This window comes from Homo sapiens, chromosome 3 (genome assembly GCF_000001405.40).
Source record: "Homo sapiens chromosome 3, GRCh38.p14 Primary Assembly".
Lineage (NCBI taxonomy): Eukaryota > Metazoa > Chordata > Mammalia > Primates > Hominidae > Homo > Homo sapiens.
The window spans coordinates 31,180,567-31,205,814 of record NC_000003.12 but is presented as its reverse complement, the minus strand read 5'-3'; the positions used below and the strand labels follow the sequence as shown (position 1 = coordinate 31,205,814).

General features: G+C 42.1%; 1 long non-coding RNA gene and 1 pseudogene across 1 annotated transcript; both read left to right on the top strand.

The window, feature by feature from the left end:
* The first annotated feature begins 3,147 nt into the window (after nucleotides 1–3,147).
* Nucleotides 3,148–4,455, top strand: LOC105377018 (uncharacterized). The gene is made up of 3 exons (XR_940694.3): nucleotides 3,148–3,331; nucleotides 3,830–3,873; nucleotides 4,075–4,455. It is a non-coding gene; the product is annotated as an uncharacterized LOC105377018 (long non-coding RNA).
* On the top strand, nucleotides 23,165–24,259 carry CNN2P6 (calponin 2 pseudogene 6; annotated as a pseudogene).

Below are 25,248 nucleotides of genomic sequence, written 5' to 3'. Positions count from 1 at the left end.
AATGGTGAAGAATTCAATTACCATATAAAATGGATCAATCTTGTCCCAGAACAGAACACTGAACATCTCTTTAGTGAAAAAGAAAATTATCTTGTTTTAGTTTATTTACTTTCCAAAACAAAATGAAGACTTCTGAGGTCAGGACAATATAAATGTAATTCTCTGAGTCACTATGATAAAACAAATCTTGGCAATTATTTTGCTGAAAAGTTCAAGAATTTCTTTTTTCATTTATCACTCAGAATAGAAGTTAATCATAAAAATAGCTATTTGAGAATAGCACAACTCTAAAACAAGAATTCTTCAGAGTCCTTCCAAGATCTGAGTAGTTCCTAAGTAGTGGGCCAGATTTTATTTTTATTTTTTAAACTAGGCATCCAAAGTAACAATCAGTTTCTTTTGTCGTATCCTTTCTTCTTTACATCCTGTATGAGCACTGAGTTTGACTGAGTTTGGATGTGTTCCTATTCAACATTTAATGGGATTCACTCATAGGCTAATCTAATTCCTTATGTGGCTACATAGCTATCTAACCGAGACCAAAGAAGAAGAAATGATGAAGAAAAAAGGAAGCCAAAGATGGACTCACCCTGTATATTGCATCTGAGGTTAGCGTTGGGTGCCACTTCCATAATAACGTGGATGTTGCCTCTAACCAGCATCTTCAGGAAGTTCTAGAGATAGGAAAGATCTCCAGAAAGATTATGCCAAGCCATGAGTTACTTCCTAAATGATCCACCCTATCTTATGGGGTTGGATTAAGTTTTTCTTTTTGAGACAGAGTTTCGCTCTTGTTGCCCAGGCTAGATTGCAATAGCATGATCCTGGCTCACTGCAACCTGCGCCTCCTGGGTCCGAGTGATTCTCCTGCCTCAGCCTCCTGAGTAGCTGGGATGACAGGCACCCACCACCATGCCTGGCTAATTGTTTTGTATTTTAGTAGAGAGGGGGTTTCACCATGTTGGCTAGGTTGGTCTTGAACTCCTGTCCTCAAGTGATCTGTCCGCCTCAGCCTCCCAAAGTGCTGGGATTACAAGCATGAGCCACCCTGCCTGGCTGGGTTAAATATTAAATAAAGTACAGTCCTTGGTATAGAGAAGCACTTGTTAATCGTTAACTCTTGTTACTGTTTTATCATTATTACTATTTCAATGACTAAAATTTAAGAGTGAGAAAACCATCATTAGATAACCTCATTCACCCCCGTTATTCTTGTTCTAGGATGTCAGAACTAAAATGAGACCTCACAATGGTGGAGTTTTACCCCTTGAGCTTCTCTCTTGATATGTGGAGGAATGAGCATAACTTTCATAATCTCTAAATCAGGGGCCAATAAAACATTATGACTCCTCCTTGCAGAGTCCTATATATTCAGCAGTTCTTGGTTACAGTATTATAACCCCTTGTGTCCTTAGTATATTCTGCCATAGTAAAGTGGTGTATGGGATATACTGACTCTTTGGCATCTTTGAAAATTATTTCCTTGTAAAGCTAATATGATAGCGGTTTGACTTATAGCAACATGCCTTGTTTGCTTAATGTTGAACTCTATGTCAACAGTTCTGACTCTCCAATCTGCAGTTGATTGTGCTGACTTTGGCCCAGTAGCCATAGAAATTGCTCTAAACAATTTATACCCAGTCAGAGCAGACGCTATGATTTCATCATTTTGGACCACTATCAGTTCTACACAGAACCCAGTGCAGCCGCTACCCCTTGCCAGATTTGTCTCTATCTCACAGTGTCAAATTGGAGTGGCAGACACAGCTTTATTGATATTGCCTTCTGGAAATTTCCCACTTACCAATATGTTTGATTCTTGGAAACATGATTTAGTTTATCCCAACAAAAATCCCATAACATCAAATGTGAGCAGAGGGCTTAAGATTAGGCTTTAAATTGCTCATTTCTGGTTTACTTGGCTATTGCTAAATGAATACTTCTGAATAACTAACTATGAAAATCCATTTTTTTTTTGACAAACTCAGTTGGGTAGTCACACCTACCACATTCCCTGGTCTGTCTTTTCCAACACCAATATCTGAATGACTACCCCGATTTACTCCCCAAACTACATCTCAAGCTCAGATTTCAAACTGAACCCAAATCAGAATATGAACTATCATTGAAAGAAGAAGAAATGAAACGTCTGATAAACGTGAAGATGCCAATTTCTCATGGTCTGAAAAATGTACATCAAAATGAGATGTGATGTAAAAACATTTGTTGGATTGATTAAAATTTGTAGAAGGGCCAAGATTAAACCCCCATGCTATTAACCCCTTCCCTAAACAATTTTCTGAGCTTTGCTTTTTATGTAGAGGTTTATTTATTTATTTATTTAATTTAGTGTTGGAAGGGTCTTGCTCTGTCACCCAGGCTGGAGTGCAGCGGCATGATCATAGCTTGCTGTAACCTTGAATTCCTAGGTTCAAGTGATCCTTCCACCTCAGCCTCCTGATGTAGCTGGGACTACAGGTGTGCACCACCACTCCCAGCTAATATTTCTCATTTATTTTATTTTTTTTTGTAGAGCTAGGGGTCTCGCTGTGTTGTCTGGGCCGTTATTAAACTCCTGGGCTCAAGTTATCCTCCCACTTCAGCCTCCCAAAATGCAGGGATTACAGGCGTGAGCCACCATGGCTGGGCCCTACAGTGGAGTTTTAAAAAATTATCTTTAGCACATACGGTTTGGCCTCTGGAAAGCTATTAACTAAGGCAATTCAAATTCCAGCCCCCAGTAGCCTGCTGTAAATCAGAGCATTTGGATATTGGGTGGGTAAGACTTGACAAGGCAAACAGCGAAAGCCTCCAATATCTTGCTCCTTAGTTGCTGTGGGAGGTTTTAAGCCATGAATTTTGCTGGAAGCAATGGAAATAACATCCAATTCCTGTTTGTGGGCCATGTCCACTGGAAAAGCATTGTGCTAAAGGGGCAGACAGGAGAGATTTATGATATAGTCCTCTATTTTAAGGATCTTAGAGCAGGAAAAACCATTGAAGGTGAAACTTTCCTTTAACTTGTAATATGGATGTTTCATGAAACAGAGATAGCATTGGATGGAACAATTAAAGAATGTGATACTTGAACCGGTTTTTTTTTTTTTTTTTTTTTTTTTTTTTTTTTTTTTTTTTTTTTTGAGACAGTCTCACTCTGTTGCCCAGCCTGGATTGCAGTGACATGATCACAGCTCACTACAACCTCAACCTCCCTGGGATCAAGCTATCCTCCCATCTTAGCTTCCCAAGTCATTGGGACTACAGGGAATGTGCCGCTGTGCCCAGCCAAACTGGATCTTCAGTATGTTTATGTAACTTTCCGGGAGCAGAGGTAGGGTGTTACAGAAAGGGCATCTACTTTAGTACAAGCAGAGAGGCAATACTTGTTTAAGAAATAGGAGAAACAAAATCTTAATAAACATGGATGCTTTTGTTGAGAAGAAATAAAAAACAAAGTTTTCCAGCTGAGGCTTGATTAGAGAGAGAAAGAAAGCTTTCACAAAGCCAGGAAGGGAAGTCTGGAATTGAGGCAAAAGGCCATTGGCAAATCTCAGTGAAGGTTTATTGAACACTTTCTATGTGTTCCCAGGATTCTGAGGAAACAGAGATGAGTTGGATACGGCCCTGCCCTGAAGGAGTTTGCAGGTTATAGCCAATGATAAGTGGGAAAGTGGACTCTTAAAAAGACTAGTTTGACAAGATTATATAGAAGAGATGGAAAGTTAAGAAACCCTAAGCACAAAAGTTGAGGCAGAATCCAAACTGAAGGCAAAGTATGTCTAGCAGGTCATTTTAGGGACATTGATTTGTTTGGCTTCTTCTTCCCCAGTGTTTTCAGCTTTGGAGCTTCAATCGAACTTTTGAGACAAGAAGGTAAGTTAAGGTTTCTAAAATTGCAAGAAAAATTTCTTATAGTATAAATACATACTGTGCAACATTCACTGTTTATGTGAAATTTAATTTGACTGGGCATATTGTATTTTGCAATGCATTTGCTTATTCTAGTCATTGTTCCTAAATGTCATTCATCCTCTGCAATTGATGTACTTGATTGTGTTCTGTGTTTATTTACAGAGGAAAGACAAGAAAAGTGTCTTCTTCACAATTTTATTATTTTGGTGTCAAAGATTCCAGTTGATTATCCCTTTCTATCTCCAAAGTCTGGCAAACCCTACTTACCTCCCCAACTGCTTTCGAAAGCATAAACAAAATAAAATAACATCATCAAAGATTCCAGAAGATTGGGAAAGGTGTGGAAGGTAGTGATTAAAGTATAGTTGTAAGGGCCCTTTGACATCAATTTTATTCTCTCAGGGGGCTTAAAGTGTTTCTTTTCTGCTTCCTTTACTACAAAGATATTTCACTCAAACTCTATCTTGTTATAGACTCTTGAAAACTGGGGATATGGTTTCTAGCCTTGTAATTTGTGTAATAAAATGTCAGTCATAAAAACCACTGGGAATCTGGGACATTTGTAATGATTGGGCTGTCGTTAAAATACATGATTGCTCAAAGGTATGGCTTAACCCAGGAAAACACAAACCACAATAAAAGGTCACATGGAAGATACAGGCATGGGCAGGCATCACTTGGTGGCAAGCAACAGAAATCCCTTAAGAAAGCGCGAGTGAAAAGCAATTTATTTCAGGGGACTCTGATGGTATTTTGAAGAAGGTATAACTCCTGGAACTGGAAAGCTTTGAGATACTTATCTCTCTCTCTCTCTCTGTCTCTGCCTCTCTCTTTCTCTCTGCCTCTCTCTGTCTCTCTCCCTCACGAATCTCCCATAGTATTGGGTGTAATCTTCACCTATTCCAAAATGTAGTAAGCACCTTAGTTTACATGGCTTTCCAAGTCTTGCACCTGTGGCTAAATAACTACAGTGTTGGTGTCTGAATTCAACTTCCTGTGAAGGAGACCCTTGAGTGCCTACCCTTCATCAGGTGTTCATCAGTAGGATGGGGGAAGGGTCCCATGGCTCCCGATGTCTTTAACAGGACTCTGGGCATGGATTTGGGCAGTTAATTAGACAGAGCAGCTAAATCAAGTGACATATTTTCCTTTAATTGCTCCTAACTAGAATAAGAGGATGATTTGTGTCCTGATTTTTATGAACTTTTGCATTCTTTCTCAAGTTCTAAATTCATTGAGTAAATCCTTCAGAACATTTGACCTTGTATTATGGGTTTTGTGGTTTAAATTTCCCATGAAGTTAATTATACCATGGACAGTATTGGGGTGAAAGTATAGTCCCTAAGATCATGTTTAAAATGTTTTGTCTCAGAATTTTAATACCCCTTTTGGCCTGTAAACACTTTGTAGCACCATGATAAGCAAAGACAGTATTTGATGCAGGTCAGTTTTAAGTGGGAGAAGGAGGAGTCTCTTTAATTTAGAGAGGCTTAATAAAGGACATTTCACTGAACAATTGGTTATAACAATTGAGTTTTCTAGAGGTTTTTTTTTTTTTGGCCTTCCCTCAAGTTGTGTTGTGTACTGTGCAAGAATACGAATAGGCAAGAGCGAGTGGAGACGGCCTGTAATAGGCTTCCAGTTAAGCTCTTAATTTACGCTGGTTGTCTTTATCGGCCAACGCTCCCACGTCGTTATCTGTGAGAGAATGGAGAAGAAAAAATGGCATTCTATTTTTTGCACCCTCTTCTCCTTGTGATCTTACATCTTCACTTAAAAGCAATCAGGTGCGCAGGTGAAGAGATAGGAAAAAAAGGGCTTTTAATAGCTTTTGATATCAAGATTCCATCTTCCTCCTTAACGGCTAGCCCACACTTCTGTGATGTCTGGTGATGTTTTCAGTTCCACCTTTTGTGTTTTAAGAATTGCACTTTTAAAATTAAAAATGCCTTAAGGAAGGACAGCAGGGTATCTGGAGGTGGCGTAAATAGAGATGAATGCTCTTCAAAATCCACCTGATTTATTCTGTCAGTCAATTGCAATATAGTTATCTTCCAACACTAGCCTTAGGTTTCAGGGTACACAAGTCTAGGATAAAGTGGTCTCTGTAAAGAGCATCCACAGGAAGCATGCTGCCCACTTGGCAATGCAAGGTGGTTATTTGTTTGACTATACCATGCTGTCCTTCTCCTTCCAAGGGGCCTTCGGATAGGCTGATGCTATGGAGTTGGAATCTTAAGCTGGAGGATGAGCCAATCAAAGTCATAAAGGGAAGCCATATGTCACACACTTGGAAGTCCATGTGTAGACATCAAGTTGAGAGTGTCAGAGGCAAGGTCAAGACCAGGATCTTAGCACCAAGGTTAGAGTGGCAGAAATCAAGACTAAAGTAAGTGGAAAAAATACGTGGAAGTGGCAGAGGATGGTGCCTGAAGAGGTAGGATAGGAGAGGACTCCGAGTGTAAGTGTTGTGAGAGAACATTATAGATGAGCGGTGCTCAGCTGCAGTGTCCTAGCCATGTGGGCCTCTGACTCCTGGCAGCAAACGGGATGGCGGATGCAGCTGTTGAGAATGCCCTGCAGAGTAGCCAAGACATTGATAGGGTCTTCCGTGCAAGGATAAGATGACTCTTCCTTACACTGCCCCACAGCAGTTGGTTTGTAAGAAAAAATTCCCCAAGATTTTAAGTCCTGGGTATGCATGGATACCTACAGCTCTGACATAAAGCCATATGACTCTTCTACAGAAAGATGAGAAATTGGCTGATGATGCCACTGTGGTGGTCACTGGAGGCACCTGTGGTCAAAGGGCATGTGCATATCTCTGCTTTGACCTTTATTCCTTGGCAGAGCAGAGGAAACTTCTGCTCACAAAGTTGTGTGTGTCCTGCTTCAACATCACAATTTAAGGGGAAAAAAATGGCATAATTTTGTCTGAGTCTTGAGGAGGGACTCTGGGAACTATGGGTGTTTATTAATATGCTTGACTCCTCATTTCATGAATAGGGTGGGGCAGGAGTGGTGACTGGCCCAGGCATAGGACAAGTGAATGACTGGGACCAACAATTGATTCTATGAGACTAGCCCTACCCAAAAAAGAATAGCGAAACAAGAAGGCAGGCCAAATCAGAGACACCATAGGAACGCCAAGGGTCTGACAGCAGGGATATCACACATGTACACCAAGTGAAGAGGGCCTGAGAAATGACTAGATTAGGAACCAGATCAGTGCCAAAGTCAGTAAGAGACAAGGAAGGAAGTGAGTAGTATGATGGTGTGGGGAAGCAGAGAGATGTGCTATCAATTGCCAAAATAATCAGGAATATAATTTATTTATTCAATATATCATTCAGTTTTTCAAGGAGTCTTCATTCATTCATTCAACAAATATTCAAGTTTCTAAAATGTTCTAAGTTCTAAGCCTAAATATTGGTATGCAATACTACCAGGACCCAGACACCAACATGGTGCGGTAGTTCTATGACTTGAAAGAGCATTATGAGAACGTATGGGGAGGGCACCAAAGGAGAAAAGAGAAGCCTTCCTATTGGCAGAGAAAGCTGAGTTGAGGTTTAGGGACAAGTAGCAGTTAAGTAGAGAACGCTCATTTGGGGCAAAGGCCAGGTGGCAAGCATGCCAACAGTACTTTGGGGAAGCCATATGGCATCAGACTGGTTGGGACATACAGTGATAGGTGGGGCATGGCAAGGCATGAAGGTTTCAATAAAAGCAAGGGCCATAACTTGATGGGCCTCCTAAGTCATGGTAAGGACTTTGGACTTTATTCTAATAGCCGTGGAGAGCTACTAGAAGGGCTTTTAGCAAGAGAAACTCAATTTGAGCTGTGCTGGGAAAGATCACTCAGGCTACAGGTTGCATAATTTAGGGCTGAGACCAGAATGAGCTGGCCTGGAAGGTGGCTGTTGAAAAACAGATGGGAGAGAGATTTGGTTGTCAAAATGACGGGGCTTGATTATTGGCCAGAGACTTGAGGAAGATGGAGGAAGCCAAAACAAGTTCTACGTTTCTGGATTGGATAACGAGGTGGATGGTATAGTTATTTGTCTGTTAGTGGAACTAAGAGGAGAATTGGGTTGTGGAGGGAGGACAATGAACTCAATTTTGGATATGTCTGAGGGTTGGGGGGTGGCAGGGGGATGCCCTGCTTTTGCACTAATCCAGTGCCTGTCTGGGTGGGTGGGAGAGGCTGTTTATAGCACCAAGCACAGGCTCATTATCAGTTAACAGCCATGGCTTAGTTTTCTCCCTGGTATAGAAGAGGATCTGGACTGAGGATGCAAGGAATTTGGGCTGGAATATGCCAGAGAAGTAAACCTTGAGTTAGAATCAAGACGTGTGGTAACAAGATTTAGCTTCTGAATGCAGAGACAAACAAACACAAATCGAAATATCTCAGTGTAAAAAAAAAAAAAAAAAATCACAGAATTTCACTTGCACCAATGGTTTTGTTTTACAAATTCCTTGACATGCTTCTGTAAGAAAGCAATTGCTTTGTTGCTGTTTTCAGGGGGCGCTTCCTGCAGGGCACACCTAGAAAATGGTGTGTTTCACAAAAGATATGCCATCTCCCGGGGCTCTGATTTTCTTCTCCTCGGGTCAGTATTTCACTCTTGTCAGGATATTGCCTGATGCCTGCCTGTCTCAAACCCCAGAGGAGAGCCATCTGTTGAGCTGTGGAATGTTCTCAGCCACAAGTCCTACATCATTATTCTAGCCAGGTCATGCTGTTGCTTGCAGAATTTTTTATAGATAGAGGCTCAGCTTATGTTCTGAATTAGACGCTCTCATCTGCCTGTGGCAAATTGCGGCATGTGCTAGTGGAAACTCCCTCTTGGGTGGTGCTTGAAATATTTGGGATATTATCTGGTTAGACATTCTACTACTCCTTTTAAACAACTCTTTCTCCATTCAATCTTTGAAAGCCAAAGTGTGTGTGTGTGTGTGCGCGCGCATGTGTGTGTGTGTGTGTGTGTTTGTTTTGGATTATTTCATACCAAAAGCATTTTCCATTTTCTTATTAGGAACTTTCTCTTTGTCCAAAAGGAGAAAAAGAAAAAAAAAAAACTTGTAGAGAACACACTAAGTTTTTTTTTACAAAATGGCCTGTTTATACTTTAAAGGTTGTATTACGGCATAACAGATTTGTAATTTTAAACTTTTAAAGAGGGAACAGTTTTGAATTTAGCCTAGTATTAGTGATGTCACTAAGGAATACTTCCATTTAATAGCTTTGAGTGAAATAAATGCTCCAGCTTCAAGGAAAAAACAGCTAAAGGTAAATGGGGTGGCTAAAGGGAGAAACATATTACAGAGGCAGTTATGCAGGTTCATGCTACAAGTGCTGAGCCATTCTTATCTTTTCTTCTTGCTCTGAATGGATTAGGAGGATTCTATTCCTTGAGTTGGGTGATAGGAATTATTACCCTATCAAAGAACAGGTGGGAAGGGCTGAGCATGCTGGCTGGTTGGGAAAGTCTACAGACATTGGGAATTTCCTTTCCTCTGGTGAAGTTCACTGCAGAAGAAAAGCTTTAGGAATTTTAACATGCCATGAGGTTGAAAATTCTGGAAGGTTTTAGCTACAAGAGATTGAGGTGGAGCTATACTCAATCCTGGAGACAGAAGTGGAGTTAAATCAAGTAGCCACTGATGAAAGTCCTTCAAAGGTTCTTCATCATCCTCTGGATAAAGCCCAACCTTCTTAAGATCGTGTATGGAATTTTCATGATTTGGCCCTGATAATGTTTCCAGCCTTATTTTCTTGCCATCCTTATCCATCTTTAATACCTGGTACCATGTCATTCTTCCCAATGTTTATCCTCAGCTTTTCAAATAAAGCATACTGTTGTCAAAGAAAGAATATAACTAAATATAAACAAGCTATTCTCTGTATCTCAATTACAAATTTCTTGAAATAAATGAACAAATCTGACATAAAACCAAATTTGCTTCCTATTGAACTTGGAAAATGTGTTTCTGAAACAAATATGACTTGGATAAATAAATGACCTTTCTGCCTTTTCCAAGGTCATGTGGTAGTTTGGTGATGAAGCACACCTCTCTTTTATTATCTGTAAAATAGGTATATTACAATTTACTAAATATGGCTGTTGAGAGAATAAAATGAGATCATTCTTTTAAAGGACTACTGATGGTACCTGCTGTATAGTTGGTACTAAATCGTGACCACTATATTAATCTAAAGGACTGACTCAGCCCCTTCCAATGGGTGATGCTTCTAGAAATAAGCATGAGCCCACAATGCTCTGACTTCCTTACTGTGCTTCTGAATGATTCCTCTGTGTGTGTGTTTATGTGCTCACACCCACGCCCTCGCCGAATAGCATGGCCTATACATCACACGGAGATTGTTTTCCAAAAGCCTGTTCCATTATAATCTACATTTCCATCAACCTTCTATTGACTTTGCCATGCAGTTCAGATCATCACTTAGCTATTACTGACACCTTTGAGCACATCTGCTGAGAACTGTGCTTGGAGGGGTTGCACATTTTGAGGGTGTGTGCATAATGATATAAGGTTCTAAATAATAAATTAAAAGATAGTTTACAGCCCTCATTATAGCCATCTGTGTTAACTTCCCATTACAAATTAGAATATCCATTTTGACACAAGTTTAATTTTTCCAAAACACCTGTTCTAAAAGGCAATGTACTTTTTACATAATGGAAATGGCAACACTTTGAAAATATTACACTTTACTGGAAAGTCAGTTATGTTCCAGAATAAATGTTTTCCATGGCGGGCGGGGTGGGTAGTTCTCATACGTAATGAAGACCATCAATCACCAAACAAAAACCCCTCATCACGTATAAAGAACTCACCCACAGATTTCCTTTTCTTTCTCTTTCATTAATACCTTTAAAAATCAGCAATAAGTTCCTTTGGTTTTCTTCTCATATTTTACAAAAATCATTGTAGAAGCAGAGGTGTGATCAGTTAACAACTGTTGACTTCTGAAAAAAACAACAAAGCTTCCATCTTAAAGCATCCACAGAAATGGAAGCAATTTCCATTACAACCTTGTGGATTAGGCAGCTTATTTGTACAATCCATTTTCCTTCATGTTGTCTACTCATTTCATAAATAATTCTGTCTGTGTGGTTGTGCAATATACTGATATTTCACTAATTTTTCTGTTAATCCAAATAGCATCAGGCATTGAATGGTGTAGGCATTTTTGGAAACTGACTTCAGTACAGACTAAAGAGAATTCTGGATTACAATGGCTGTGCCATTTTCTAGGCATCATTTACTGGAACTGGGTAGCAAAACAAAAAACCAGTGTTTCCTTAAAATAAGACAATTGGCAAGGCCTGTCACAAGAAGTGAAAAGATTTCTCTTCCTTCTTGGTTTCCTTTTAACTATCTCTATAAAACAAAGGAATTGCCAGAAACCTTTGGATGCTTCCTCTGTCTTCATGAAAAGGACTACTTAATTGAAGTTACCGACCTTCTTTCCTTTTGCATTCAAAGATCACCTCTACCCCCTTGGAGAGATGTCAGGGGAAAGATTTCTGCCTTCCAGGAGCCTTAGAGAATTATGATCATCCGTCTCCATGTATAATATACTCTCCTTTGAGTACATTAAAAAGCCGTAACATGCAAAACATACACTGTATGTTCTTTACTACTTTTCAGATATAGGTTCTTTGAAGGCATGATGGGTAGGTTCAGTGGTGGATGCAGGAGGGCTGGATTTTAATATATTTCTGAGCAATTCTAAGATTCTGTGATGTCACTTGCATGATCTAAGTTATTGCTCTGAACATCACTTCTATGGGCTGACTGCCAACTACATTCTTATGTTTATTTCTGCACTGTTCCTTACTCAGGCAGTTTCTCATCCCTTTTATGCCCTCCTCCTCAAAAGTGGAAAGGCCTGGAGGGGAGAGGGAGCCTGTCATTTTGGGAGGAACACAATAATTGGCTGTGATCTGGATTTCACATTGTTGAGTTGAGAGGTGTGAGTGAGAAGAGATTGGAAATCATGGAGAGTCATATCAACTTTGCAACTGAATTTGAACTTGATCCTAAGGACAAGGAGGTGCCAATGAGCATTTTACAGACTAGCCATATGGTAAGATTTTAGTTTTAGAAACATTACTGTTAATTCTGGGTAGTGGGAATATGAGTGTTCATTTTACCATTCTTTGTACCTTTCTGCATTTTCAAAAGTCTGACTCAAATGGAACTAAACAAATACAGCTCTTCCTGGCTACAGAGTTGAGAACAGATTAGAAGAGATGTGACACATACGTCAGCTGGAAATTTGTGACAGTAATTTAGACAGGGGACAATTATGTGTTAATCAAGGCAGTGCCTCAGTAGGAATGGAAATACACAAATGGATTGAGGCACATGTCAGAGGTAGAGTTGGAACTGGACATGAAGGGGAGCGAAGGAAGTGAGTGTCATTGGGTTTCTGGAAGGTCAACTGGGTGAGTGATAATGGTCCACACAGGGACACACAGGGAAGATGATTATGTCTGCTTGGGACAGTTGGAAGTGCCTGAGAGTCATCTTAGTAGAGGTGCCCTACAGGAAGTTAGATGTTTTAATCTAGAGCTTGGGAGAAAGTTTGGGAGTGCAGATTTAGATTTAGGCATTGTCAGTTTGTAGAAGCCATAGGAATAGGTGAGATTACTGAGAGAATATAAAAGAGTAAAAATAGGAAGTTTGAGGCATGAAACTCTGAGAGACATCTATAGGTATCAGGATGTTAGAAGAAGGAGACTAACAAGTGGATGAAGAACTTGTTTTACAAGGGAAAATGTCACCAATTGTGGCAAAAAGGTCAAGTGAGATAATTCTGAAAAATCTTTTTTTTTTCTTTTTTTGAGACTGAGTCTCCAGCCTAGGCTGGAGTAGCCCCATCTCGGCTCACTGCAACCTCCACCTCCCAGATTCAAACAATTCTCATGCCTCAACTTCCAAGTAGCATGGTGTGCCACCATGCCTGGCTAATTTTTTTGTATTTTTAGTAGAGATGGGGTTTCACCATGTTGCTCAGGCTGGTCTCGAACTCCTGAGCTCAGGTGATCCTCCCACCTCGGCCTCCCAGAGTGCTAGGATTATAGGCATGAGCCACCATGCCAAGCCTGAAAAATCATCTTTGATTAAATTTAGCAATAATGACATTTTTGAGAAGAGCAATGGTGGTGGAATGGCAAGGGAAGAAGGCAGATTGCAAAGTTTAAAAAAATCAAATAATAATAACAATAGCTACATTTTTGAGAGCTTATTTTGTGCCAGACACTGTGCTAAGCTCTTTATCAATATTGTCATATTTTATATTCACAGCAATCCAATAAGTAGAACTAATATTCATTTCACTTTACTTGAGAAAACTGAGATGTAGAGAAATTAAATACTATGGCCCCCAATCACACAAATCAGATGGGGGAAGAATGACTCTGACTCAAGTCTACTTTAATCCATAATTCCTAATCTTATTAGAGAGAAGAGAGGGACAATGAGTGTCCACCTGCTTTCAACAGTGAGGGTCTGAGGTTTGAGGGAAGGCAAGAGAGAACCAGAGGGGCTAGCCCAGGAAGAAGAGGGGTTTTGTCTGTCTGCTTGTTTGTTTTCAAGATGGGATAACCTGAAGTATATTAAGTATTGATGGAGAAGAACTGGTAGAAAAGATCTGGAGAGAGAAGGAAGGACTGACCCACAGGATAGGTTTCCTGAGGAGGTAGCACAGGATGGAATGGGGTCCTGAGCATGCACTAATGTTCTCACCATAGCGATCACAATAGTGGGGATCCCACATTGGGGAACCGGGCAGTAGATGGGTGAGGGAGGTCTTGCCTTATGGCTTCCATTTTCACTGTGAAGGAGGAGGTGAGGAGCTTTTGTCAGTAAAGAGGGTGATGCCCAGGTAGAAGCTTTGCTGAGCATGAAGTTGCCTGTGTGGAGGAGGGGAGAGTGCTGACCAGAGAAATGCAGAAAGACTCCAAGGAGCATGTAAGGCCCAGTGGAGGCTGAAGGCCACAACTTTGTAATGAAGCTAATCTAGGGCAGAAAGGAGGAGAGAAAGGCACAGTCTGTGCTTGATACTTAGGAAGAATGTATTGAATCATGCAAAATTTGGTAAATAAAAGAGGGGAGTGGGGTGGGTGGGGGGTGGGGGAGAGCCAGAGGATGGGGGAAAGAGGACATGGGACTGGGGAGAGACAAAGAGAGAGGAGCCCTGACGTGGCTTTGGAGGCCTGGAACACCAGGATTATTGAGAATTCCCGTGTTCCCTGGGCTCGCTGGCATTGCTTTATCAGGATTTTCATTTTGTGGAAATCCTCCTGGGTCCTGGCCAGTTCACGCTGTGACTTTGTAGTTCACAGCAGCGACTGACAGCTTCACAAACCAGGCTTGATGTCTGACAGACAACCACATCTCTGCTGCTAAGTGCTGGATCTGAATTTCTGCATAGCTTTGCAAACCCCACCATGGAGGTTCCTCGCAGGACCTTCAATTTTTGCCTGACTCTCTTCCTTCTCTTATCAAATTTCAGGATGGCATTTCAGGCATCATTTTCTTGACAGGAAGGGTTGAACCCAGTTGAAAATTCAAATGCAGTAAGGGGTCTTGCTTGGAAGGAACTGTGTGTTTCTAAACCAAGGCCGGATGGCTTTGAGGCTGGCAGCCTGGAATCTTCCTTCCATGGGGATCTGCTCCTCCCCCATGGAGAATAGAGTCACTTTGGTGGACATGGACATATTACTTTTGGTACTTTCAACCTAACTCCTAATAGACCATGTCATCACTCACAATTGACCTTAGATCATGGGGTCTTCAACCAAGTTGGGGAGGAGCTGAAAGACGACCGAAAGAAAGATTTTACACAAAACTGCTCTAGTTCTTGGTAGATCCTTGTGAATAAGTGCTAATGTCATCAATTAAAATTCTGGGACACCATGCCAGTTTTCAGGTGAAAGTTTTTCCTCTTTGACAGTTGCAAACAAATCACACTTCCATTTTATTCATTCACCAAATATTTATTGAATACCTACTATGTTCTAGGCATGGTCTATTGTAATGGTGCCCCTCACTTTAGGCTTCTGTGGTCAGACATTTTCTCCCGTGATTAGGACCAAATATTTGGAGGAGGGATTAAAGCTCTTGTTTACTGAGCACCTTTTATAGCCTGTGCTATGGGATCTCCAGGCCTACCAAGAATACATCAAGGTAAGAAGTATTATGCCAATTTTATAGATCCAGAAACTGAGATTAGACGTATGAAGACAAATAGCAGGACTGGGATCTGAACCCTTGCCTATCTGTTTTCAAAGCTCATAATCTTTCTCCTTGTTAAGCTGCCAGAGAAGAAAAGCAGAAATAAAGTGGAGACTGAGTTTTCAAGAACGGTATTTCCTCACATAATTGTATTTTGGCATTGGAAGCAGCCATTTACTCCTTTATATAAATAAGGATCAATTTCTTAGCAGGTCATTTTCCTAGCAGTGAGACTGCATGTAAGGTTATAGACTGGCTAATTTTTTTTTTAGTTGGGGGGTGGGGGGTAAATGTAAAGAGCACATTTACAAGGTAAAGCTAACTGTGGTAAGCCCTTAACTACCTTGAAAAGCTGTGTGGGTTGTAAATCCTTATTCATTTTGTACTCATTCTTCCATCCACTTGGCACCAGTATAATTAGCTGATGTTAAAGAGATGTCAACTGGAAGAAGAAAAGGGAATTCATCTTGGTTGAATATCCCTGGAGGCACCTGCCTATGTCACCCCATTTAATTGTACACATACCCTGCAAAGTAAGAGAGACATGTAGGAATTTACTTATTGCCCAAGTAAGAAAAGAATTAAGGATTTGGACTCCAGTGTGTCTGGCCCCAGAGTTCTAGCTTTTACCAGTCTTACAATTATAGAGAGCACTTAAGGGATTTTGCGGGGGCTGGCAGGGAGGAGGGTAGGCGAGGGTTAGATGTCAACTCAGTAGGAAACAGATCCCCTACTCAATCTCCTGGGCCTTTGCTGTTTTCACCTTAATTTCAGAGTGATTTTTATTTACAACAGCAGAAGCTGACTGTAGCTACATGCAACCTATGTGACTTTTCTTGTTGTGTATTACAAGGCTCTATAGATCTTTCGCCAGAAACTTCTACCTCAGGTAATGTCATAAGGTAGAAGTAGCAGTACTTTTGGAGTCAAGAGGCTCACTTGGAGCCCTGGTTCTACTGAGGAGCTATGCATCCTTGGGAAAGACTTTAAATTCTTTCGGGTAAAATCTTAAAACTCTTATTTTCCTTACATTTTAAATGGAAACACTGATACCTATGATATTCAGCCATTCATCATTCATTCATTCATTCATTCATTCATTCATTCATTCATTCATGTACTTGTCCCCATGCCAGGCACTATCTAGCCAAGAGAGTTACAAAGTGAACAAAATAGACAGCATGCCTATTCTGAAGAAACTCATATTCTAGTGGGGAGATTGATTGGAAACAATAAGCAAATACATTAACACAACAGTTTGGGATTGTTTTAAGTTTCATAGAAGAAAAAAAAATAAACATGGCCCTATGATGAAGATGGGTGGCCTGGATGAGGGAGACCACTCTAGGTTGGGTGGCTAGAAAAGGCTTCCTGAGGGGTAACATGTGAACTGGGATCATAATTACAGAGGAAGCCAGGGGAGAGGAACACATCCCAAGGAAAGAAGAGAACAAAGGAAAAAGATGGACAGGTGCTTGGAGTGCTTGAAAAACAGAAGGAAGATCTTGGATGACAGACCCAGTGGCATAATATATGCATAAATACTTTGCATGTTGTAAATAATTATATAATTCAAAGATTATTATTTTTACTTCTCTTACCTTATCTTTCTTCTCTCCCTCCTTTCTTCTACCCCTCTTCCTTTCTTCTTTTCAGTTTGTCTTTTGTATCAGTGCTTCTCAAACTCTGATTAAAAAACAAGCATTAAACCAATAAAAACCTCATTTTTAATTTTTATATTTCTAGTCTGTTGTGGACTGGTACTTTTGTAAAATGTCCCAGTACTGTCAAATAACTACAGAGATTTCTAAATGCTGATCTTCATGTCTGCACCTCCCTCCTGGTGGGCTGGTCTCTGATAATTGGTGGACCACACCTTGAATAGCACTTTCCTAGATAACGGGGCTTTTCTGGTCCAACCCTGGCTCACAGACATAGTCATTGGGGATCGCTGACCACTTAACAAACTCTAATAATCCAATGTTTTGGTTTTATTTAACACTTTATTTAAATGGGGCCCAGGCTCCAAAACCACACACTGGACATCCATGTAAGCAAATCGTATTGCAGGCCTCCGTGTGTTGCTCTCTGATTTCTACAGATCCTCCAGACTCTCAGAGACGAGGGCCTGGAGGCTGGCGTAAAGAACTGCCCTTAGTTTTTCCTGATACTGTTGTATAATAAAACAGTCTAATTAGCCTAGAGCCAGGGCAGCCCTGTGGGAGATTTCATACATAATCTAGAAGGAAAGCAACGACAGGCGGGCTTTTCCCACTAGGTCTCAATTCCTTTTACTAAGTTTGAAAAGCCAGGGGGAAGTGTCCAACAAGGACAGAATTCTTGCCAAGGTGAATTTCCAGCTGGCTTGAAAAAGCTTGAGCAATAATGGCTGACTCTTAAATGGGGAATGGACAAGGTTATTAAAACTATCAGAGTGCACCTTGGGGCATTTGTAGCAGCCAGAGCGAGCTGTGAAACTATGTAGTGGAGAGGTGAGGACCCCATGCCCGGTCTGGGTGAGGAATAAAAATAAGGATGCCAGGTTCCTGGGGGAAATGCTGTTTTTCAAGGGTGACACAGAATTTCTCTGATACCTCAAGCAGTGTACAGAATTTTTAGCCCCTGGAGAGATTTCAGTCCTGACCAAAAAAAAAAAAAAAAAAAATCAGAGACTATTGGCTTCTGCAGACAGAAGACAGTCTTCTCATTTTGTCTTAATTTTCGAAACAACTAAAAATCGAGCAGAAATTGTTTGGAAGACTTCCTCAATGGAGTGTTCCTCTAGGCAAGGAAATGGAGTTGCTCTGGAGTTTTCTGAATAGCTACTTTTGATTTGGCAGACATAAGCCCATTATCCTTTTCTTGGATATTCTTCTCTCCCTGTAATTAAAAAAAAATTCCTGGAAATTTAAATATTTGAAAAGAGTTTAGAAGTCAATTAAAGGAACTATATGTTATCATTCAGTTTTAGTCTCCATGGGTACAGGTGTTTGCAACAACTTGAAGCTTAGTTCCAAAAAAGGAATGTCATGTTCATGGAGATTTAAAGAAGAGTAGTAGTTAAAAGCTTTGGACTTTGGAGTCATATAGACTCAGGGGTGAATTTTGACCCTGCCTTTTCCTAGCCCGGGTAAATCATTTCACCTCTCTGGATCTCTATCCCTCATGTGTAAAGTGGAGTAATGATAATACTGATGAGTGGCCCTTGTTGCCCCATTAAATGAGTTACATCAAGGGAGCCCTCAGCACAGTGCCTGGCATACATTACAGAATGCTTCCAATTAATGCCTGATGCTATCATTTTGTTATTCATTATTACTTTCTTGGCCAACTCGAATCCAGGGGACTCCTATCCTCTGTTGACACCTTGCTCATGTAATAATTGGGCTACTTCCGTGCTTTTTGTTGCCCTACTCCTTTCCATCAGCATGTGGATTGCTTTTATTTGTTTGATTTGATGCAGGAATAAGCTTATACTGTTGTGCCAGCTGCTATGGTGGACATAGAAAATGGATTAAAAATGGTAGAAGGGGATTGATATTTATCAAAGACTCACAAAGGGCACAACCTATTTAATCTCATTTAATTCTCACAGCAGCCCTGTGAGGTAGGTATATTACTCTTGTTTCACAAATAGGGAAAGGAATCCTGAGATGTTAAGTGACTTGTCTAAGCTCACACAGCAAATAGGTCGATTTGCATCCAGCTCTTTGTGTCCCCTAAGATACTGTTTGTCTTACTGCACTATACCACCTTTTTGCCTTTGATGAACTCATGAGCTAGTTAGGTGAGAGAAAATGTGCATAATTCAAGGCAGGAAATACACTAATAGGAAGCTGTCACATACAAGTTGGAAGGGGGGTAGCAGAACACACCAGCCAGCTTGGCTGCCTTGCCTATTCCCCTTCCCTGAGGTTGTATATCCACAACCACTACTGTGTAGGTGGTGGAAAACCTGTGCTGTCTAGATCAGTGGTGGACCCTTGACAGCCAGTGCTGTCTAGATTAGTGGTGGACCCTTGACCCAACTAGAGACAAGATGAATCTCTTTATTTTGCTTAAAATTTTTTAAATTATTTATTACTTATTTATTTATTTATTGAGACAGAGTCTCGCTCTGTCGCCCAGTCTGGACCTGAACTCCTGGGCTCAAGTGATCCTTCCATCTCAGCCTCATAAGTAGCTGAGACTGCAGACATGCCCCACCACACCAGCTCTCTCTATTCTTTAAGGACATAAAGACTATAGTTGGTGGGTGTTTGAATTGAGAGATTGCATAGACCAGGAATAATATACTAGTCTTCTATTATTGTGTAACAAATTACCACAAATTTGGCAGATTAAAACAGTACCCACGTATTAGCTAATACCTGGCCCTGTGTGGCTGGATTCTCTGCCCAGGGTCTCAGAAAGCTGAAACGAGGGCATTGGCTGATCTGTGCGCCTTTATCAGGGTTCTGGGGAAGAATTCTTTTTTAAGCTCTCTCAGGTTGTTAGCCAAATTCAATTTTGTGTGTTTGTCGTTGTAGGGCTGACATTCTCATTTTCTTGCTGGTTGTTGACTGGTGCTGTTCTTAGTTCCTAGAGGCCACTTGCAATCCTTGTCCTTCCTCTCTGAAGACAGTAATGGAGAATCTTCCTCCATTGAATTCTTTTCATGCTTTTCACCTTTTTTCTCAGGGAGAGCCCAGACTCTTTTAAGGGCTTTTCTTAAGCCTAAACCCCTTTTCTTAAGGAGAAATTACCATACAATATAACTGAATCATGGCAGGGAAATCCATGGTATTCATAGTCCTGGGGATTATGCAAGGCCCATGCACCAGGAGCTGGGAGTTTTGGGTGTCACTTTAGAATTCCGCCTAACACAGATGGGGTTGCCATTTGGGGAGCCATATGCAAGCAGTGCTGGGAGATCTGGAGGGGAGAAGAGAGGAAGAGGAGAGGAGAGAAGTGGAGAGAAAGGAGGAGGGGAGGGTAGAGTAGGAGACAACAGAAGAGAAATTTCCTTATGGAGGCTCCAAGTGAGAATGTTTCCTTCCTTGCCTTTTTCAGCTTTTACAAGCCATCTAAATTCCTCCAGTCTTGGCCTCTTCCTTCATCTTCAAAGTATGTCACTCCAGTCTTTGCTTCTGTCATCACACTGCCTTTTCTCCTATGTTGACAAATTTCCCTCTGGCTCCCTCTTACAAATGTACTTGTGATTACATTTGGGGCCCATTGGGCTAATTCAGGATAGCACCCCCACCTTAAGATCCTTAACTTAATCACACCTGCAAAGTCCCTGCGAGTTAACATTTACAGGTTCCAGGGATTTGGACCTGGATATCTTAGTGGGGGTAGGGGTGGGGTGTGGAGCTGGGGGAATTATTCAGCTCACAAAAGTACATGTGGACTCTTAAGTCCCATGGCTCAAGTTCACATCCCAACCCTGCCGTTCCCTAGCAACATGACCTCAGACAAATGATTAATACTTGGCCTTTCTGTGTCTCAGTTTCATTATCCCTTAAGTGGGGATAATTATAATAATATCTGCATTGATCATTTTTGTGAGGATTAAGTGAGGAAATTAATGAAAAGTGCTTATCCCAGAACACAATAAACATTTAGTAAATATTGGTGATTATAGTTTCCACTGATGTTATTTAGAGCCTATGCTGCATATTTGTTGTTTTAGCCTGCCAACATCCATTTTCTTCTGTTGCTGCTAATAGCGCCTCTGTTTTTCTTGGAGAACTTCCTTTACCTCACTCTCAGTTTATATGGTTTAGGCGGGGCTGAATTCAGTACTAGCCCCAGGACTGTGAGTGGGAACCATGTCTAAACCCACCAGTATAATTTCCTTGCCTTGGTCCCAGGAATTGGTTCAATGATGCACATATGAGCTAAATTGGTCCAAGCAGTGTGACTCTCTGGCTTTTCCAGGAGCAACTAGAAAGGAATATTTTCATGGAGTTGCTGAAAGCAGAGTGTGTGAAGATATAGCTACTGGCAGCCCTTTTTATCTTTAAAGTTTTGCCACACTGTAGAGACAACCTGGAAGGTGGGAAGCAGAATTAAGGGAAGGAGAGAGACCCCTGAAGTTTGAGGTTAAGCTTCAAATACAGCTGGTCCTGAAATCAGCACTTTTGTGGTCTGTCCAGTTATGTGAGCCAACAAAGTTCCCTTCGTCAGTAAGAAGGGAACTTTTATCTGAAGGATTTCCAGAGTCATGGGATTGGGAGATCCTTTCTTTCTCTTTGAGTGGAGACAGAGATTTATTGGCCATTTGTAGGCTTCAGCCAACTTGTAAGAATCCAGAAGCCCCAGCCATGTGTGCATAGCCCCAGAATATTATTACCTGGGTACAGTAAAGTCCCTAATATTCTCTCTCCCCCTTGCACAATAATGGTGATAACAATGATGGTATCTATCGAATGCCTCCCTTGTGCCATCCATAAGGATTTCTCATCCTTTCTAGTACTTGCAACAGCACTCCAAGGGAAAGATTATTTTGCAGATGGGAAATGGAAGTACTGGGAGGTAAATTTTCCAAGGCCAAATAGCAAATGCTCAGCAAAAGCAGGGGTCCATCACAGGGCTTTCTGGGTTCAGAACCTGTCCCTTTCCTACACTGCTGCAATAACTCCCACAGCCAATCTGGGAGAAGTCCCTACAATCAGGAATCAAGTGACTGTTTGCAATAGCCACAGCCACTGGGCCTTTATTCCTGGAGGGTGGGATTCTCCTCTTGTTCTGTACTTTTTTTTTCAGAAGAGGCTGTAGGCACATAGACTCTAAAAGCCTCTTCTATCTGAATAGGTTCATTGAGAATTCTGTCCTTCCACATTTTCCCATTTTATTTAAACCTCCTCATGTGTTGGATTTGTGTCTAAAGGATTTTCTTTAGTGTTCAAATTAGGCATTATATGCTCTTGGGAATTATATACCTACTAGATTTACCATTCTTTTATAGGAATACATCTAAACTGAGATGTGAGACAGAACATAAAGCAAATAGAAAGTAGTTACCACCTTTTGAGCTGTCATATTCCAAAATGGATAATAACAGTAGTGGGCCAGTGAATAAAAAGCATGAATATGCACACACACATATATGTAAGGATAAAACATTGTCTTGTGATGACAAACAAATGTTGGACATGAGATATATTTGGATCTGAGCTCTATGCCCATTACTTTCAAACTCTAGGCAAATTACTTGATCATTTACCTCTCAGGCCCCTCAATTAAAAATTGGGATGATAAAAACTCCTTATAGGGTCACTGTGAGCATTGCAACTATTATGTGGGAGAAAATGAGAGCAACAGCAAGCAAGAAAGAGAGTCATAGAGAGTCATAATAAATGCTACCTGCTTGCCTTTTGCTAATGCTAGTTTGATATGTGTGCTGTCATTTATTAATACAAGTGTCTAAGTAGGTAACACCTAACTTTCCAATATCTTCTTTTAGTCCCTATTTTAAAATTTTAATTTATAAATTTAAATATTTCTGTTCTCACTCTCATTTTCTCTCATTTCCATTTTTCTTTGCATCTGCCTCACCCATCTCTCCAGACTTGCTTTCTTCACTTTCCCATGCATATAGCTACAGAGTTGTCCCACATCTCCTGAGTTTCCAAGTCCTCAGTTCAGAAGAGTCACTAGTAACTATGCATCCCAATTCCAAGATCCTGGGATAGGGATTGACAGGTCCAACTGTCCAGTTAATAATGGCTGGAAAGTTGGGTCAGGTCAGTAGAGGCAGGGCTTCAAAAGCACACTGATTTCCTGGCAGCTCTCAGAAAAAGAGAATCAGGGTGTGTCGATACCATATAAAGATTTCAGAGAGCCATAAAAGTTGGCAAATGAATGGATATGAGATTTGTGTGAAATTTGTCACAACACTTGACAGCAATTTTTTGCCTTGTTCTCTCTGCTGAAACCAGGGGTCACCTGGACTTCAGCTCTGATTCTTGTACCAGCAGTGGGTCTTGCTCTCCTATGGGCTGTCAGCCGAGGTCAAGAACCTGCTCCTGTCCAAATATGACCCCCAGAAGGAGGCAGAGCTCCACAGCTGGATCGAGGGACTCATCAGCTTCTCCATCGGCCCCAACTTCCAGAAGGGCCTGAAGGACGGGATTATCTTATGCACACTCATGAACAAGCTGCAGCTGGGCTCAGTCCCCAAGATCAACCGCTCCATGAGAACTGGCACCAGCTAGAAAACCTCTCCAACTTCATCAAGGCCATGGTCAGCTACGACATGACCCCCGTGGACCTGTTCAAGGCCAACAACCTGTTTGAGAGTGGAAACATGATGCAGGTGCAGGTGTCTCTTCTCACCCTGGCGGGGAAGGTCAAGACTAAGGGGCTGCAGAATGGGGTGGAAATCGGCATCAAGTACTGGGAGAAGCAGGAGTGGAACTTTGACGATGCCCCCATGAAGGCTGGCCAGTGCATCATCGGGCTGCAGATGGGCGCCAACAAATGTGCCACCCAGTCGGGCATGACCATGTCCGCACGAGGAGGCATCTCTATGACCCCAAGAACCACATCCTGCCCCACTATGGACCACTCAACCATCAGCCTCCAGATGGGTACAAAGAAGTGTGCCAGCCAGGTGGGCATGATGGTTCCCGGGACCTGGCGGCACATCTATGACACCAAACTGGGAACCAACAAGTGTGACAACTCCTCCATGTCCCTGCAGACGGGCTACACTCAGGGCGCCAACCAGAGCAGCCAGGTCTTCGGCCTGGGCCGGCAGATATACGACCCCAAGCACTGCCCGCAAGGCACAGTGGCTGACGGGGCTCCCTCGGGCGCCGGGGACTGTCCCGGCTTGGGGAAGGCCCCTGAACATCCCCCTTACTACCAGGAGGAGGCCGGCTACTGGGGATCCCAGCACACTCTCTCCCCAGCTTGTCTCCCCGTCTGGGTTTTGGGGTTTTTCTGTATTTTCGTCTTTTTTTTTTCTTAACCTGTTCAGTGCTGCCAATCAACCGAGGGTCTGTGAGTGGCGGCGTCGGATCAGGCAGCAGGGCTTTTTCCCCCTTGCCTTGGTCCTTCACAGGACTGAGCACTGGGCTGTAGGGGGAAGGGTCAAGGCTGTATTCCGATATGTGCAGGGTGAGGGTCCCTGCTGGCACATCCAGGCTGTGGGCTGAGCTGTGCCTGGGAGAAGAGACCTGGGCTTGGAGGGAACTTGTTCCCGAAGGTTTCCAGTTGCCTCACCTCTTGCCCCTTTTGTCAGAAGATCAGTTTCTGGTTTCTGTACCCGCAAAAGTTTCAGGAAGTATTAACAAAAGAAAAATACATTTTTTTTCCCCAAGGAATGGGGCAGGGACAGTGGTGAGGGTGCTGGGAAATTAGTCTCTGGGAAAGGGGGCCCAGCCACGATGCTAAATATCTCAGGTTCCCAAGTGGCTGGCTTTACCTAGGACCCTCAGACCAACAGACCTCAGACCCTCAGACCTGCACTGTGGCCCTGTGGGGAAAGTGAGGCCCATACAAGGAAGTGGAATTCTGAGTTGTTGGGGCTAAACCTGACCCCCTCTCCATGCTAACCCCCACACTGTGGCCTCAGTAGGGTTTTGTTGTTGTTGTTGCCCAGGCTGGAGTGCAGTGGTGCGATCTTGGCTCACTGTACCTCCACCTCCTGGGCTCAAAGGATTCTTCTGCCTCAGCCTCCCAAGTAGCTGGGACTGGAGGTGGTCCACCACGCCTGGCTAATTTTTGTATTTTTAGTAGATACTGGGTTTCACCATGTTGGCCAGGCTGGTCTCGAACTCCTGGCCTCAGGTAATCCGCCTGCCTCGGCCTCCCCAAGTGCTGGGATTGTAGGTGTGAGCCACCATGCCCAGCCCCTCAGTAGGTTTTAAGGAGCCCCCAGCCCTACTTCTCCCATTCTGGGCCTGACCAGCTGTACTGCTCCATCTCCCCCGGGCACACACCCTGCCAAGTACTGCACAGGGATCCCCACCCAGGGGCCCTACTACACGAGATAATGTGAAATATGACCATGGACCAAACACAATAAAACCTCTGTTTGTAAGAAGAAAAAAAAATAGCCATACTGCC